The 18,570-nt window shown below is 38.6% G+C and overlaps 1 protein-coding gene across 7 annotated transcripts in view; it reads left to right on the plus strand.

Annotated features, from left to right (window-relative positions):
- Positions 1–18,570, plus strand: part of ELP3 (elongator acetyltransferase complex subunit 3) — a 100,922-nt gene that overhangs the window by 48,743 nt on the left and 33,609 nt on the right. For all 7 annotated transcript variants that reach the window (XM_024447184.2, NM_001284222.2, NM_018091.6 and 4 more), the window contains one exon: positions 16,968–17,058. In XM_024447184.2, the coding sequence (XP_024302952.1) occupies positions 16,968–17,058 (91 nt within the window). The remainder of the gene's footprint in view (positions 1–16,967; positions 17,059–18,570) is intronic.

Raw genomic sequence — 18,570 nt, forward strand, 5'->3', positions numbered from 1 at the left:
ATTCAGTCCAAAGGACATTAGGTGGTGCGGAGCAGTGTAGGTATCCACATGCAGGAGGCAGGGAGCCACAGGGTCCAGAGCAGGGTGAGAAGGTCACTCATTCACATGCAGGAGGCAGAGGCGTGGTGCAGGCTGATGAAGTCAGAATGTGGCGAAAAGGGCATTCATTCCCACCAAGGGCAGATCTGGTACAGGATGTCAGAGCTGTACGTCCTCTAGGGGTGGGTTGGGGGTATATGCAGAAGAGGAGACAGCAAGAAAAGACCAGTTACTTACAGGGAGTTGATCTAATCAGCAGATATATTAAGGATACTGGGTGCTAGGTTTTTTTTGTTATCTTAGAAGTCAATTACAAAAGTTGAAAAAGGAGAAAATTAGTGTGAGCACTGTGGTGTTTTGGAACAGGAGATAGTGGTGTGAACTCATGGTTTCCAACATATAGGTACATGTAGAAATAAGTGTAAATGTAATGAATAACAACACAGGTGGCCCTTCATATCTTCGGATTCTGCATTCTACAAATTCAACCAACTGCAGATGGAAAATATTCAGAAAAAACAGTGGGTGGTTATTGCATCTGTACTGAACATGTATAGATTTTTTTTTCTTGTCATTACTCCCTAAACAATACAGTATAACAACTAGTTATAGTACTTACAGTGTATTAGATATCAATAAATAATCTAGAGGCCAGGCGTGGTGGCTCACGCCTGCAATCCCAGCATTTTGGGAGGCCGAAGTGGGCGGATTACCTGAGGTCAGGAGTTCGAGACCAGCCTGGCCAACATGGTGAAACCCTGTCTCTACTAAAAATACAAAAAATGGCCAGACGTGGTGGCAGGTGCCTGTAATCCCAGCTACTCAGGAGGCTGAGGCAGGAGAATCACTTGAACCTGGGAGGCGGAGGTTGCAGTGAGCAGAGATCATGCCATTGCATTCCAACCTGGGTGACAAAAGTGAAACTCCATCTCAAAAAAAAGTAATCTAGAGGTGATTTAAAGTATACAGGAGGATGTGCATAGGTTATATGCAAATACTACACCATTTTATATGAGGGACTTGAGCATCCATGGATTTTGGTGTCTTTGGGAGTCCTAGAACCAATCCCCTTTGGATACCGAGGGACAACTGTACATATTTTGTGTGTGTGTGTGTGTGTGTGTGTGTGTGTGTGTGTGTGTTTTATAGCAATCAGTGTACTTAGTTTCCAGTGAGCACAGCTGGTTTCTAGATCTTGGTCTCTAAATGCTCTCCATTACTAAAAGGAACCTCTTGTGCCAGAAAGTAAGGAAGTATTCAAAGAAGAAAAGGGAATCTGGCTTAAAGGGCTCCCATTGGCCAAATCTGGGACAATTTGAGCATCAAAATAAATATTGATATTAACAGATTATAACCAGCTGAATAAAATAGGAATCCACTAGTTTATACCAATATTCCTAATTAATAAATTGTAAGTGTGATTCAGAAACATAATATTTGCAGTCAGTCTTCATCATTCTCAGATTCCTTATTTGCAAATTTTCCTACTCACTAAAATTCGTTTGTGACTCAAATCCAATACTGGCATTTTCACAGTCATTCTTGGGCATGCTTAGCAGTGAAAAATTTGAGTTGCCCAGCATTGTCACCAGCTGAGGTCAAACAGGTGGTGCTCTGCCTTCTCATTTCAGCGCTCACACTGGGAGCCAATGTCCTTCTTGCAGTCTGTTTCATGCCATGTTTTTCAAAGTTTTGTGCAGTTTTTTGAGGATTCGCCATTTAGTATGGCCCCCAAGCATAGTACTGAAGTGCTGGCTATTGCTCCTGAGTGCAGGAAGGCTGTGACGTGCCTTCTGGAGAGAATACATGTTATGTAAGCTTTGTTCAGGCATGAGTGATGTGCCATTGGCCATGAGTTCAGTGTTCATGAATCAACAATATATATCAGATAAGGTGTGTTTAAACAGAAACACACATAAAACAAGGTTATGTATTAAACAGTCGACAAAAATATTGTGACCAGGGCCTCACGGGAACCTAACCTTGTATTTTCCCTAAGAGCAATTACTCAGTATACAGTGTAAGTGTGTTGGTGACACTCGGTGTAGAATGTTAACTACTTATTGCCTGCTAACAGAACTAGAACCAACTACCGACTGTACATAGTTGCAGAGTATCTCCCCCACCATACTTAGCAATTGCAGAGTGAAAGAGAATAACCTAATAGTGGGAAAACCTGGCAGCTGATCAAAGTGAACATTATCAGTAATAGGACAAATCACAATTCTAGGCTGCCTGATAGAGGGTATGAGAACGTAGCATCACTTCTCTGTTACTCAGCCAGAACTTCACGATCTGAATCCAATAGTCAGGAGACGTTAGACAAAACAAAATTGAGAAACATTCTAAAACATAACTGGCCCGTAATCTTCAAAAGTATCAGGATGAAGAAAAGAGTTCTAACTTGAAGGAGACTACACAGACATGACAATTAAATACAATGTTCTGAACTGGGTCCTTTGGCTGTAAAGGACTTTAATGGGACACTGGTGAAACTCAAATGGGGTCTAGGATTAGACACTAGTGAAGCATCCATGTTAACTTCCTCATTTTGATGGTTCTTTTGTGGTTATGTAAGAGAATATCCTCGTAGGAAATATTTAAAGTATTCTCAGGGCGTTGGGACATCTTATTTGCAAATTAACTTTCAAATAGTTCAGGAAAATAATTATTTGTACTGCACTTGGGACTTTTTATGTAACTTTGTGATTGTTTCAAAATCTAAACTAATACACTAGACAACAAAGCTGCAGTAAATAGCATTCACAGAGACAAAAGAAAAAGACGATTTGCATGTATAACTGACTCAAGCAACCAGAAAGCAGTAAAGATGCAGCTTCTCAGCCGCAGAGCATGGCAACAGATAGCACAAAATAGTTAGCAATTTCACATCCAGAAATACCGAAAGTAACAAGGCATGGATCCCACAGGCAATCAGATGAAGAATTTGCATTTTCTCCCTTCGTTTTCGGCTTAAATTTCTTTCTGCTGTAACCAGTGAGTCAAAAGCAGCAGAGACATTGCTATACTATTAAATGCTTAATTTTATAGACTTTTAAATACCACTATGCGACATTATCCTGGCCTACCAACAACTGAGAAAATAAGGACTTGAAGAAAACAAGGGCAGCAGAAATAGTCTCTATAGGAAAAATGTAAAGGAGTGATGACAGGAAGAGTGGAGAACACTTATATGATACAACCGAAAGGTCATATGATAAGAAAGGCATGACATTATTAATAAGCAACATATGAGGCCTGTTAAGGAAACCTGGCTGTTCTCAGTTCTTCTGATATGACCCCGTTACACTTATCCTATGGAGAATTGGCCCATAGGAGAGTCCACAAGCTCTAATTTCAGGAGGCCCAACTGTCACATATGTTTCTCTATCAATACATCACTTATGGAGCTTGTGAGTGAGGAGTGGTACAGGTGGATGTAGGCTTAAGATTTCGAAGTGACACTCTTACTTCACACATAGGTGGGTGGATTAAAATGTAATGGAATACTGTAAAACAAGAGGCAGTGGTGCAATCTCTTTCAAAATGTGGAATTAGTAATGTCCTCGATGAGTCTGAGGACAGTTTATTTTTTGAAGATAGTGATGACTCAGTTCCTAACACAGTAAGGCCATTGGTGAAGAGAGTCATCCAGAGTCTAGCTGTGATGTCAGGTTTTTATGCTTTAGGATTGATAATGTAGTTAACTGTGAATATGATCATTTGCTAGATTTTTTAGTACAAAGACTAATATGTTCATAGTATTTTCCATTTTGTTTTCTTATTTTTTATGTAGTTTTGGTGCTTTTAACTATGATATTTGTTGTCACACACGTTTCTGTTAGAATTCATTTTTTTTTTAACGTACCTTACTGTGGACTGAGGTTCAGTAAAGCATTTACTTTTTTGTAAGCATGAGGAGAATTCCTTGAGATGCATTATGTTACTTTATGTTTTGCATTGAGTGTTACTAAACTATTACTCTGACTGCCTGCGTAAGAACTCATTCATATTTATTATATTTTGCTACTTCCTTTTTACTCATTTCTTTGTATATACCACATTGAAAAATGATTCAGATTTATTTTATATTGGAACTTGCTTTTTATTCTTAACAGCCACTGAAATCACTGAAATTTTAGACTAGGCATATGCAGTGCTGAGGTAGCTTATGAGATTTCACGTTCTAGTCAATGTATTACATCTTGTGTTTCTGCTGTGTAGCACCACTCCCATGATCTCATACACTTCTTTTTTGATCATGTGATTTTATACTCCCCCCCAACAGTCTGTAGAATATTACTAATTATCCAGAACTTATGTTTCTTCCTGATTTCTAGCCATAAAATATTCTATTTACATGAGCAAAATAATGTTTTCTCTGTAAAACTACTAAACCACTTTCAATATATGTATTAATAACAAGTTAACATTATTTTTCCAAAAATTTCCTTACAAAGTTGGAGTGCATCTTTACGTATCAGTATATTTTATACACTAGCAAATTTGCTGTTAGCACTTTCATGTTCCATTTCCTAAGGATTTAGAATAATCTTCATGGTTATAAACTTAATGGCAGCATAGTACTCTGCAATTTTAATTTGTCTTTTTTAGTAAACTGTTCGCCTTGTTAGAAATTTAGGTCGCTTCCAGGTTTCTTTGCTTTCTTCTTCCTTTTTTAAATGTAATTATCCTGGCCTCCACTACAGCTAAACTTCATAGAACTTTCTACTGCTGTTGAAGTAATCTCTTAGAGTAGTATAATCTGGGAGAAGGATTACGCATGGTAAAGGGTCTAAGCATCTTTTCATTATTATTATACTTCTTAAATCCTTTCTGGAACAAGGGGAAAATAAATAAATGTTACAGTTTTTGCTATGAATATTGATATGGCTTTCCAAAGGGATTATACCAGTTTAAAGTAAACATTTACTGGTTTTATCACAACCTCTATAGAATTGGGTGCTTTATAGTATTTTTATTTTATTTAATTAAGGGTATTAATTTGCATTTCCCTAGTTTCCCTTGTAACTGATTATTATTTGTGTTTCTTCTTACATCAGTTGTATGTTTATATTTAATTTGCCAGTCATGAAATTTGGATTATAAATATTGTCTTTTTATTGAGAAAGCTCAGAAAAAGTTCATAAATGTTGCCTCATTTTGAATTCTTTCCTCTCACCCAAACGAATAGGAGACTAGGGAACCAAGAGGCCACATTCATGTTCGTATAGGACACTTAGCACATAATAACAATCTGATAGCTGTTTTCTAGTAAAACAGCTTCATATCTCTATTTAAAAACCTTAAATTCGGCCAGGCACAGTGGCTCTCGTGTGTAATCCCAGCACTTCGGGAGGCCGTGGCAGGTAGATCGCTTGAGCCTAGGAGTTCAAGACCAGCCTGGGAAACACGGTGAAACCTCATCTCTACCAATAAATAAAAACATTTTAAAAATTAGCCAGATGAGGTGGCACATGCCTGTAGTCCCAGCTGCTCAGGAGTCTGAGGTGGGAGAATCACTTGAGCCTGGGAGGTTGAGGCTGCAATAAGATGTAATTGCTCCACTGCACTCCAGCCTAGGCAACAGAGTAAGACCCTGTCTCCAAAAACAAAAACCCTGAAATTCCATTTCAAAGTGTTTCAAAATTTATATTCAGATAGAACTAGAATTTGGTAACTAGAATTTTGGAATTCAGACATTATCTAAAATGTCTAGACTTTTAGAAAGAAACTTGTATCAGGCTGGGCGTGGTGGCTCACGCCTGTTTTCCCAGCAGTTTGGAAGGCCAAGGCGGGCAGATCACCTGAGGTCAGGAGTTCAAGACCAGCCTGGCCAACATGGCAAAACCCTGTCTCTACTAAAAATACAAAAAAAATTAGCTGAGTGTGGTGGTGGGCACCTATAATCCCAGCTACTTGGGAGGCTGAGGCAGTAGAATTGCTTGAACCTGGGAGGCAGAGGTTGCAGTGAGCTGAGATCGTGCCACTGCACTCAGCCTGGTGACAGAGTGAGACTCCATCTCAAAAAAAAATAAAATAAAAAAGAAACCTGTATCAAAAGCTAGATAGTAAAATTTTGAAATAAAAGTGCTCAGAAAAATGTTAATTGCTAACTTAAACATTATAGTCAAATGTGTATGAGAAGGCTGAGTGTTTATACAGCATCAAGTGGCTGAGAAGCTTTCTGATTTGGGAAGAGAGACTCATGGGGATTTTACTCAGCAATGTTTTTTTCTAGCTTCAGCCTTAAAGTTTTAGAGCAATTCTGAGACTGTAGAAAATTGCTGTTAGTCTTAAGACTACAGTTAAGCACCCTGACTCTGTTTAATTTGATATTAGTTATGTCTTGCTAGGAAGAAACCACTGGCAAAGGAGAAAAGTCTCCTTCCAGGATATTTAGTCCAGATGATTTTTAATAATTATAGTTTATTTATTTTTGTTTGAAATCATTGTAAAGGAAAATCATTTGTGTCTTTCTGTTCAGTGCCTTTAGAAAATCTGCATAGCCTCCATGGAGGTTCACCTAGTGGCAGCTTCCACCAATTATAGGCAACACACTGTTGACTGGTGAAGCTGAACTTACAAGGTTTATGTGGAGAAGGACCTTTTTTTTGTTGTTGTTTTGAGACGAAGTCTAACCCTTGTCACCTAGGCTGGAGTGCAGTGGCACAATCTCAGCTCACTGCAACCTCCGCCTCACAGGTTCAAGCAATTCTCCTGCCTCATCCTCCTGAGTAGCTGGGATTACAGGCTCCCATCACCGCGCCCAGCTAATTTTTATACTTTTAGTAGAGACGGGGTTTCGCCATGTCGGCCAGGCTGGTTTCGAACTCCTGACCTCAGGTGATCCACCTGCCTCGGCCACCCAAAGTGCTGGGATTACAGGCGTGAGCCACCATGCCCGGCCAAGAAGAAACTTAGGCAGGTATCAGAAGGGAGAATGGAGGAAAGGAAGATAATTTGAGTGAGAACACAATGTTTCACACTTTTAAAATTTTACTGTATTTTACTGATAGATTACTTGATGTTTTTAATTGGTTATTTTCCCCACCCTGCCCTACCCATTACCTTTTTTTTAAAAAGACTATTTATACTTTTTAGTTTTATGACAGTTGAGTTAGGAACATCTTCCAGGGTGTTTTTATGAAGCAGCATCCTAATAGAAGATTCTGTGTTCCAGCCCTGAAGGGTGCAGTCAATGATTAAATGTAAAATTCTGTCCAGACACATGATGGAGCCATATTAAACTGTTGCTGCCCTCAGGCTATTTGACAGCTGTCTGCTGATGTGATATTTAAATCATCATGAAACATTAGAATAGGAATACCAATTCACAACCCAAGCATGTTTCTGAAGTATGAGCAACTGCAGACAAAAAAAGGCCTAGACATCACTTGAAAGGTTTCTGATGAGCAAATTGCAAATATCAGCACCTCTAAGCTTGAAATGTTACCTGTTGAAATAGAACAGTGAATGTTCTTGTATGTAATCGATCTTCAGGCCAAGAAAGTGGAACTAGATTGAATCAAATGGAGAAACGTAAAAATAATTTTAACTCCTACCTAGATGAATGCAGCAAGCTCAGATAGTCAGTAATCTCATCTAGGTTTTCAACTCCTAGAAGACTGTAACAATGCCTGCTTATATAGTCCAGATTGCTTACTGCAGTACTCTGTCCATTGAACATGTTCAGCATACATAGAATTATCTCTTTTCATTTTCAGTGAAAAAGACTTTGTCACTGAAACTGGCAATTACCACATTTCTGTTCCTTAATGAGGAAAAACTTCCATCTGGTATACTCGCAGCACGATACTACCAAAGACCATTGAATCCATGTTGCATTCTCATAGTGGCAGACGTAAATTTGAGGACATTTGTGAATTGTCAGCATCAATGTGAATGCCTCTGTTACCAGGTCCTCACTGACTTGTGCTCTCTGGTAATCAGGGCCAGCTTCAAGGATATGTGACCCATGCAGTCTCATAGGGTCTTGCACTTGGCTTAATATTCTGCTGTCACCGTCTTGAAATTATTAATAATTTTTTTCACAAGGACTCATGTTCTCATTTTGCACCGGGCCCCACAGATTCTGTAGCAGCCTCCTGGGTCTTTTTATCATACAGTTCTGCTTACCAACACTGTATGTAAAACCTTCCCTAGAGAGTTTACGTCTATTGAAATTTTAATGTCTTTTGAAAGTACCAGTTTGTTATTAAAAATATTTGTAGAGATCATCTCCCCTTACCTTCCCATCCCCTCTTCCCACTGCCTGTGGAGACAGTGCACCTGAAGCGTGGCCAGCAGCGTGCCTGGCACCTGACTGATGCAGAGGTAAGGAGAGGGAGTGCAGAGATGGCAACTGCAGTTGTTGGGAGATTAGTTACATTGAGCAAAGAAGTTATTTGATTTAGCAAATGAGTAGATGTCCTAAAGATAAGGAGAGCCAGTTTTCTCACTCCCTGAAGGGATTTACAAACATTTAAAAGGTGAAAGCTGAAAAGAACACCAACGTACCATGTTAGTATTGGAATTATCAGTATGAACTTACGGGTTTAAAAATTTATATATAGAAATAGTTATAGCGTGTATGTTTATATATATAAATATATGTCTCTCTCTGTGTGTGTATGTGTGTATGCATGCATATATTTCTTAGTAGTATGTACTGAGAGGTTCTAGAGGCAATGACACCCAGCAGTAATAAACACAGTGAGTTCCAAGATTATAGTTTCTAAAGCCACTCTCCACTAAAAGAAATCAGTGCTTAGAAAAATGGCCATTTCCAGGGCTGGGCAGCAAACATACAGGATGAACACAGAACATCTTGTCTTTCCAGAGAGTAAGTAAATAATCAAAGAATGACAGGTCATGTCAGAAGGACCCAGAAACCAGCCTGAATGCATACCCACTGGCAAAAATCTAATGTCAGCAACAAAATAAATAATGTTAATATTAGTTAAAAACTTGTATAAAATAGGAATCCATAAGTTTGTACTGATATACATAAATGAATAGATAAATAGGAAAGAAGGGAAAAGTCTTCCTTACATACAAGGTCAACTAGTAAATATAGAAGGGATGGTAGAAATAGTAACTATTTGGCAACCATTAGATTAGTAGTAAATGCTACTACTAATAGCATTTACATTGGTGTAATACTACAGTACTACACTACATTGGTGTAATACTACAATAGCATTAGGTGATAGACACAGGAGTCATCAGTCAATATGAGACTAGTAGTTGTAGGTTTGATGAGGAACAGGGTGTTGTCATGATATTGACATTTCTTCCCATAAAATATTACTCAGATGTAAAGGGGGAAATGGTGACCATGGTGTAGATAGCCGGCAGACGCAGTCTTGACCAGGGCATCCTGTGATGAAACAGGTCAATATAGCATGCCTATATTATTCACTGAGACAGGGCATCATTTCTGTGGTATTCCTGCCAAGAATTCATGGCCTCTGGTCATGAGGAAACACTAGACACATCCAGTGAGAATAAAGACTTTCTAACTGGATACCATTAAGTATGGTGTTAGCGATAGGCATTTTTAGATACTCTTTATCAAGTTGAGGAAGTTCCCCTTTATTCCTAGTTTACTGAGAGCTTTTATCATGAATGGGTGTTGGATTTTGTCAAATGCACTTTCTGTATCGACTAATATTGTGAGATTTTCTACTTTAGCTCATTGTTTTGATAAATTATGATAAATCGCACTTGGTTTCAACATATTCTTTTTATGCATTTGATACATTGGATTTCATTTGCTAATATTTTGTTGAGGATTTTTGCATCTATGTTCATGAGAGATGTTGGTCTGTAGTTGCTGTGATCTGAATGTTCCTCACCCACAAAAAAATAAAAATTCATGTGTTGAAATCCATACCATCAGGAGGTGGGACCTTTTGGGATGTGATTAGGTTAATAAGGCAGAGCCCTCATGAATGGGGTTAGTTACTCAATATAAGAGGCCCCAGAGAACTGCCTCATTCCTTCCATCATATGAGACACAGCAAGAAGGCACCATCTGTGAGAAAGTGGGCCCTCACCAGGCACTGAATATGCAAGTACCTTAATCTTGGCCACCAGAACTGGAAGAAATAAATTCCTGTTGTTCATAATCTAAACAGTTCATGGTATTTTGTTAGAGCAGCTCGAACAGACTCAGACAGTAGTTTTCTTGTAAGTTCTTTGTCTGGTTTTGGTATTAAGGATGCTGGCCTCACAGAATGAGTTAAGAACTACTAAGAAGTATTCCCTCTGCTTCTGTCCTCTGAAAGAGATTGTAGAGAATTGGCATAGTCTTGCTTAAATGTTTGGTAGAATTCACCAGTGATAGAGTCTTATTCAGATTGAGTATTTCTTCTTGTGAGTTTTGGCAGATTGTATCTTTCAGGGACTTTGTCCATTTCATCTAGGTTATCAAATTTGTGGGCATAGAGTTGTTCATAGTTTTCCATTGTTATCCTTTTAATGTTCGTGGGCTCCGTAGTGATGTCTCCTCTTTCACTTCTGATACTAAGCGTTTCCATCCTCTCCTTTTTGTTAGCTTGGCTAGAGGCTAATCAGCTTTTGATTGGTCTCTTCAAAGAACCAGTTTTTGGTTTCATTGATTTGTTTCTCCGTTGATTTCCTGTTTCAATTTCAATTTCCACTCTAATTCTTATTATTTATGTTCTCCTGCTTACTTTGGATTTAATTTACTCATAGTTTCCTAAGATGGAAATTTAGATTTTTTATTTTAGATTATTCTTCTAATATAGGCATTCAGTGCTATAAATTTTCCTCTAAGCACTGCTTTTGCTGCCCTCGTTCTTTGTTTCTATTTTTGTCTTCCATTCTTTTTCTGCCCTTTGTGGTTTTAATTAAGCATTATGTATTATTCCATTTTCTCTCCTTTCTTAGCATATCAGTTATTCTTCTTTTTTTACTTTTTCTTTCCAGTGGTTGCCCTAGAATTTGCAATGTGCATTTACTACTAATCTGAATTCACTTTCAAATAACACTATACCACTTCACTTCACAGGTAATGTGATACCTTTATAATAACAAAATAATCCTAATTCCTCCCTCCTGTCCTGTGTGTCATTGCTGTCATTCATTTCACTTAAATACATGCATAAGTAAGCATTTGTATATATGTATGTATATACACACACATAAGCTATCTATAGCAGCATACATAATTGAATACATTGTTGCTATTGAACAAACTCTGTTAGATCATTTTAAAATAAGAAAAAGGAAAGGTTTTATTTTACCCTTGTTTTTGTTCAACATTTCTCTTTATGTAGGTCTGAGTTTCTGACCCATATCATTTTCCTTCTCTCTAAAGAATTTCTTTTAACGTTTCTTGCAAGGCAGATCTATTAGCAACAAATTCCCTGAATTTTTGTCTGAGAAAGCCTTTTTCTCTCCTTTATTATCCTTTGAAAGAATACTTTCATAGGATTCAGAATTCTAGGTTGGTGGCGGGTGTTTTTTTTCCTATCAGCACTTTAAATACTTCACTGTACTCTCTTCTTGCTTGCATGGTTTCTTAGGGGAAGTTGGATATAATTTTTATTTTTCTCTATACGTAAGGTGTTTCCCCCCCTCCCCAGCTTCTTTCAGGAATGTTCTTTATCTTTTTATTTTCTGTAGTTTGAAAATGAAATGCCTACATGTAGGTTTTGGGGGCATTTATCCTGTTTGGTATTCTCTGAGCTTCCTGGATCTGTGGTTTGGTGTCTGATATTAATTCTGGGAATTTCTCAGTCACTTGTTTCAAATATTTCTTATATTATTTTGTTTCTTCTCTTTCTGGTGTTCTTATTACACATGTTACACCTTTTATTTATTTTAGAGACAGGGTCTCACTCTTACCCAAGCCATTCTCCCACCTCAGCCTCCCAAATAATCGGGACTACAGGCATGTGCCTCCGTTTTTTGTGGGGATGTGGTCTCATTATGTTGTCTAGGCTGGTCTCAAACTTCTGGGCTCAAGTGATCTTCCTGCCTCGGCCTTCCAGAGTGCTGAGATTATAGGTGTGAGCCACCGTACTCGGCCTGTGTGACACATTTTGTAATTGTCCCACAGTTCTTGGAAATTCTGTTCTATTTCTTTCAGTCTTTGTTGTCTTTGCTTTTCCATTTTCAGAGTTTCTCTTGATAATATCTCAAGCCTAGAGATTCTTTTCTCAGCCATGTCTGTCTACTAATAAGCCCATCACAGGCATTCTTTATTTCTGTTTCGGTGATTTTTTGATCTCTAGCATTTCTTTTTAGTGTTTCTTCAGATTTCCATCTTTCTGCTTACATTCCCCTCTGTCCTTAAATTCTAGCTACCTTTTCCGTCAGAGCCTTCAGCGTGTTAATTATAGTTGTTTTAACTTCCTGGTCTGATGATTCCAACATCCCTGCCATGTCTGTTCCTTATTCTTGCTCTGTCTCTTCAAGTTGTATCTTTTGCCTTTTGGTATGCCTTCTAATTTTTTCTTCATAGTCGGACATATAATGTTCTAGGTAAAAGGAATTGCTGTAAATAGGCTTATAGTAACCCGATGGTAAGATGATGGGGGAGAAGTGTTCGCTAGTCCTGTGATTAGGTCTTAGTCTTTCAGTGAGCCTATGCCCCTGGACTGTGAACATCACAAGGGTTTCTCAGTTTTTCCTACGCCCTTAGATGGGACAGGATGACTAGAGTGGGCAGGAGTTGGATATTTCCTTCCCCCAGGTCAGTTAGGCTCTGGTTAACTAGTTTCTCCTGCAGGAAGGCCTTAATTAAGAAAAGCAGTGCTAGGTCATGTTTCAAAATGGTTTCTTTTCCCCTCTCCCAGCCAGAAGCAGAAGGGTTTATTTCTCTGATATTTAATGTGAGGATCTGGCCAGGTTACTGGAGGTAAATCTCACAATATTGTAGGAGTTGGCCCATCCGGAGTGTTTAACTCTCAGACTTGTCTGAGCCTCCAGCAGTTCATCGGTTAGAATTCAGGTTTTCTTACCTTAGTGTTGGTTTCTCACAGCAGTTTCCACTCAGGAGTCTCTGCTCTGTTAAGCCACGACTTCCACTAGGAGTCTCTGGTCTCTGTTCTGGGAAGCCACAACTCCCTCTATTTGCCTCTCTGTCTCTCCAGCCCCGGGGCAGTAGTTTACCTTGTGTCTTCCCCTCTTATAGGTCCAGAAGAGTTGTGACTTTTCAGAGTGTTGACCTTCTATTTGTTCAAGTAGAGTAGCAACTTACAAGCTCCTTAAATGCAGAACCAGAAACTGGAAGTCCCTTCTCTGCCTGTTTTTCACTTGGGTTGTCTTTTTGTTGTTGAGTTGTAAGAGTTCATTATATATGCTAGATATAAGTCCCTTATCAGATACATGATTTACATATATTTTCTCTCATTCTGTGAGTTATTTTTTTCACTTTTTTATTGGTATGATTTGCAGCACAGACGTCTTTAATTTTGATGTAGTCTTTTTCCTTTGTCACTTGTGCTTTGGCGTCATGTATAAGAAGCTCGGCAGTGGCTGGGCACAGTGGCTCATGCCTGTAATCCCAGCACTTTGGGAGGCCGAGGCAGGTGGATCACCTGAGGTCAGGAGTTCAAGACCAGCCTGGCCAACATGGCAAAACCCTATCTCTACTAAAAATACAAAAATTAGCCGGGTGTGGTGGCAGGCACCTGTAATCCCAGCTACTCAGGAGGCTGAGGCAGGAGAATCGCTTGAACCTGGGAGGCGAAGGTTGCAGTGAGCTGAGATCATGCCACTGCACTCCAGCCTGGGTGACAGAGCGAGACTCCATCTCAAAACAAAAAAATAAATGTGCTCAGCAGCATGAAGTTTACTTCTGTGTTTTATTCTAACAGTTGTGTAGTTTTAGCTCTTACTGCATTTAGGTCTATGATCCATTTTGAGTAAATTTCGTATATGGTATGAGGTAGGGGTCCAGTTTCATTCTTTTGCCTATTTGTTGAAAAGACTATTATTTTCTCATAGAATTGTCTTGGTACCATAAATGATTTTTAATGTGTAGGTCCTACATCCTACCTTTGAAACCATTACTGAACATCCAGGTAGCTCTGACTATGGTGTTTTACCAGATGTCATATCCTAGAAAATCCTTGTGGGGTTTACATGTCATTTGCAAGCTTTAGTAGTTTCCATAATGAGGCAGACTCAGGGTCTGCCTAGCCAAATTGTCATTTGCCAGCAGAGAACTTAAAGTACCAAAGAAGGGCCTAATATTCTTCCCTAATGTCAAATTAAGGCTCCAAAGTGCCTCAGCTTTTTATGATTGTAAATTATCAGTCTGTCTAGATGAATTTTTAGTTAATGTTTTACCTTTGCCACTTATCAGATTAGTGAATTCCATGTGTTTAATACCTGTCCACATTTGTCCCTATCAAGTTTCAAAGTATGCTGTTTAGAAATTAGAACAGTTCTTTGAATTCTGTGTGCCAGTGAAAAGAGCAAGCATGAAGTTGTGCATATGAATTAATAAGTAAATCAGTTTCGTCATAGGTAGGGAGGAAGTTTAATTTGGATGTAGGGAAGGGGCAATAGGATAAGAGCAGGACAACAGAGCATCATTTATGACTGGGGAGCTAATGGAGGGAAGTTGTCCTGTTGGTTGAGAGATGGGTTCTGCAGCCCCTTCTGTGGGCTGGGTAGGCTCCGTGGGCGAGTCTCTTACACATCGTTGTCCTGGATTATCTCCTCTGAGTCCATTCTACAAAGGAGACTCTTAAAAACCGTGTTTTCTACCTATGGTAACAGAGCTGATGAGAGTTTAATTGATGCCTCTTTTAAGGGTTTGAGATTTTTTAATTGGTTTTTGGTGCATTGGGTAATTAACTTCTCAGTGACCAGTTTCCTACATACAGTCATCCTTCAACCCACAGAGGCCCTACCTTTAGGCCTCTGCTCTCTTCCTATGTCCAGCCATCCATGGTATTCCGCACCTCTTCATTCATTTTCTTCTTAATTAACTAAGGATACAGAGAGGAGCACTGCCCCAAGTGTAGTCCTGAGATGCTATCTCATGTTCCTAAATGCAAGAAGGCTGTTGTGTGCCTTAGAGAAATTACATGTGTTAGGTAAGCTGCTTTGAGTTATAGCGCTGTCCTTGAGTTATAGTGCTGTCCATGAGTTATAGTGCTGTGGCCATGAGTTCAATGTTAATGAATCAGCTATATGTTAAATAAGGTGCCTTTAAACAGAAACATGCATCAAACAAGGTTATGCATTGATCAGTTGAAGATGTTTTAGGGGCTCACAGGAACCTAACCCTGTATATCCCCTGTGGACAATGCTTTAGTATTCACTAATTCAGTATTCACAACAGCACAACTATCATGAATAACAAGAATTAAATGTATTTGTCATGTAATGGGCGCTAACACTGGTTGCCACTGACTTTATCAGATTAATTTTGTGCTGTGTATGATGTTTTAAATTTTAAGTTTTATATATTTCTTATATGTGTATATATGAGATGTATAGCCATATATTTAATCTATATGATGTATAGCCACATATTTAATAATTTATATATTTGTGAGTTCTTTATAAATTATTTCAGGGTAAAAAAGGGCATTTAGAAGACTTTGGCTTGTACAATCTGAAACAGTAAAATTTTAAAAATATACATATGTTCCTTGCCAAAATTAACCATATTTTTTACTTTAGTAGCCTTCATTTAGCGTCATCTGATTACTAATTTTAAAATGTATTTGATTTTAAGAAAATTATAGTTCCAAAGATAGAAATTTATTTTACTGATAACTGTTAAGTAAGCCATATATGCTAACTCTGGTCACTCTAATATATACATTTTATGTCACTCTCAGTTTGAAAGCTCCAATGTGTCTTTGCCTTAAAGAATTTTGACTTATCTTTGATTTATAGAGTTTGTATGGCAACTCTCCTGGCTTCCAGAGCCTAACAGACTTACTTGTATAGCTTTTAAAGCTAATCGATTGGCTTTTGATACTTTTGCTGGAGGAATATCTTATTAAAATCAAATGGATGAAGTAGCTAATTGTATTTAACATTTGAAGGGATAAGTGAAAAGAGGAGGAAAAGACTCAAGTTGATTCAAAAGCAAAATGAGAAGAAAAGATAATTGGCATATTCTCCACATCTTTCCTCTGATCAACCACATAGGAGACAAAACAAATTAGAGACTTGTCTTTGAACAGGAAGCAGATGTGCCGAGCATATTTTTACTTCAGATTTTGTTAACTATTTTATCTTTAGATACTGATTTTTGTCTAGAGGAGAGTGTTGGAGCAACTAAAATGGAACTCATAACTTCAGCTCTTGATGGAAGTTTCCTTGATGCCTGGCACTTTATGCTGTATTAATGCCAGGAAATAAATTTTATTTCCTCCTGTCTTTAGGCAAGCTGTTATTCCTCTAATGCACAGTCACTTTTAACTTAGATTTTTGAGAAACAAGGAAAAAAGATTTAATCTTTGAGACCAGTTGTTGGCTAAGGCAGGCGTTTGAGCATCCCAGTTACTTGTCATTCAGCAGCTGTGTGGGAAAATGTAAGCTACATTGTTGAACAGATTTTGTAAAGGAAAAAATTTATTTCTTGATTTATTTGGTACAAATGTCTCTTTACTCAAAAAATCTTTACAAATGGTTATTGGGCATTCAGTCATTTGCTTAGCACTCTGTAATTTTATAAAGTGATTTCCATCAGGTGCCTTTCACAGAAACCCTGAAGGTCAGGGGAAATCATAATTTCCTTGATGAGAAAGCTGAGGCATAGAGAAGCTCCTTGTTAGGAGGCTTTGCCTCTGATTTCCTGGTCAGCTTCATAGGTTTTTTGCTTTTTTATTTTTGTTCTTTTTAACTTTTTTAATATCCTTGCCTTACTGCTGTGGAGAATGATTTCTATTTTGCAACAGCTTATGTTTTTCTCCTGTGTACAGGGATATTCCAATGCCTTTAGTTAGCTCAGGAGTAGAGCATGGTAACCTGAGAGAGCTGGCACTTGCAAGAATGAAAGACCTCGGAATACAGGTAAGAGCAAATATGGCGGTCAGGCCACAACTGTTGAGAAAAAGAGAAATCTGAAACACGAAAGACTTTGCCACTACCACCCCTAAAACCAGACTTGCGGGTCAGGTCAGAAAGCTCCCAGATGTTGAAAGCATAGTCACTGAACTGTGTCGGAGCTGAAGCCAGTGGTGCAGGGGCTGCCTCCTTTTCCTTCATTCCCTTCTGCTTTCTTCTGCCTGCTCAGATTGCCAACTGTGTGCCCCACTCCAGTTTTTAAAAACAGTTTTTCTTTTGAAGTATTAGGTATTCAGTTATTGACTGAAGGAAAAGGAGACGTGAATCCTGAAAGGAAAGTATAATCATTTGAAAAGACAAGTATTATGTGCATGAAATAATTGCCAAAACTGCTATTGCCCCACATATACCAGTCTCCTATCCCTCTGGCCATTGAAGTCCCTTCTTCGCTCACAGATATTTACTAAACATCTCCTCTGTGCTGGCCCAGGATATACAAAGAGCCCAAGAACCTGCAACTTAACAGTCTCTGTGGGAAATTCTTAAGTCATAGGAAGGTTTAAAACTCCAGTGCTCAGGAACTTCTTAGAGCTGCTAAAGGGATAAACCAGGAGTGGTGTTGAGACCAAGGGCCGACTCCTGGGCTCTGCCTTCATAGATTCTGGATCAGTAGATTGGGATGGGACCTATCTGTTTGTTATCCAGCACTAGGTACATGGTTCTCATGCACAATTCAGATTTGGGCCACACTTTGAAAGACATGGTTCCAAGGATTGCATATGGTGTTTGTGGACTTAACCTAAGACATTTTATTCTCTCACTCAAATTATTAGGGAGAAAATGTTTCAGAAGATTGTTCAGGGGAGAGTTTGTGAATATTATTGGCATATTCTACCAAAAAAAAAGTGAACAATTTTATGTTCCAGAAAAATAGCAAAGGACACCAAACAAGATTGTGTGCCTGCTTTGCCTCCAAGGCTCCAGCTGTTTGTGTTCTCCATCTCCTCTCGCCTCCAAGAAGGCCACTGACCTTCAAGAAGGCCAAGGTGACTGACCTGGCCTGGTTATCCCAACAATCTCGTTATCCATCCATCTTCTTTAACCCTCACCCCTCATAAGCCTTGTTAGCCTCTATTAAAGTAAGCTGGGATTGAGTCCAAAGGCTGGAATTCAGTCATAGCCAAAATATATCTAGTTCCTATAGGCAACATCTTGAGCAGAAAATAAGCACACACCAATCTCTGCCTTTAAAAAAAGCATGCCAAAAAAAAAAAAAAAACAGAAACAGCATGCAGATGTTCATTAAGAACATGGAACAGTAATACATTCCCATGCTAGCTACTATATAGAACTATTGTAGTGAAAGGACAGCAGCTACATTAAGTAGATTAATAATTACAGAGATTGATCATCTTCGTCTGCTGTACAGTTTTTGTTTACTGGAATTCATGGACTCTACATCAGCAAAGCATTGTCTTGAGCTAGTTCCTGGGGTGTGGAAGTAGCTTTAGTTTTCTA

This window comes from Homo sapiens, chromosome 8 (assembly GCF_000001405.40).
Source record: "Homo sapiens chromosome 8, GRCh38.p14 Primary Assembly".
Lineage (NCBI taxonomy): Eukaryota > Metazoa > Chordata > Mammalia > Primates > Hominidae > Homo > Homo sapiens.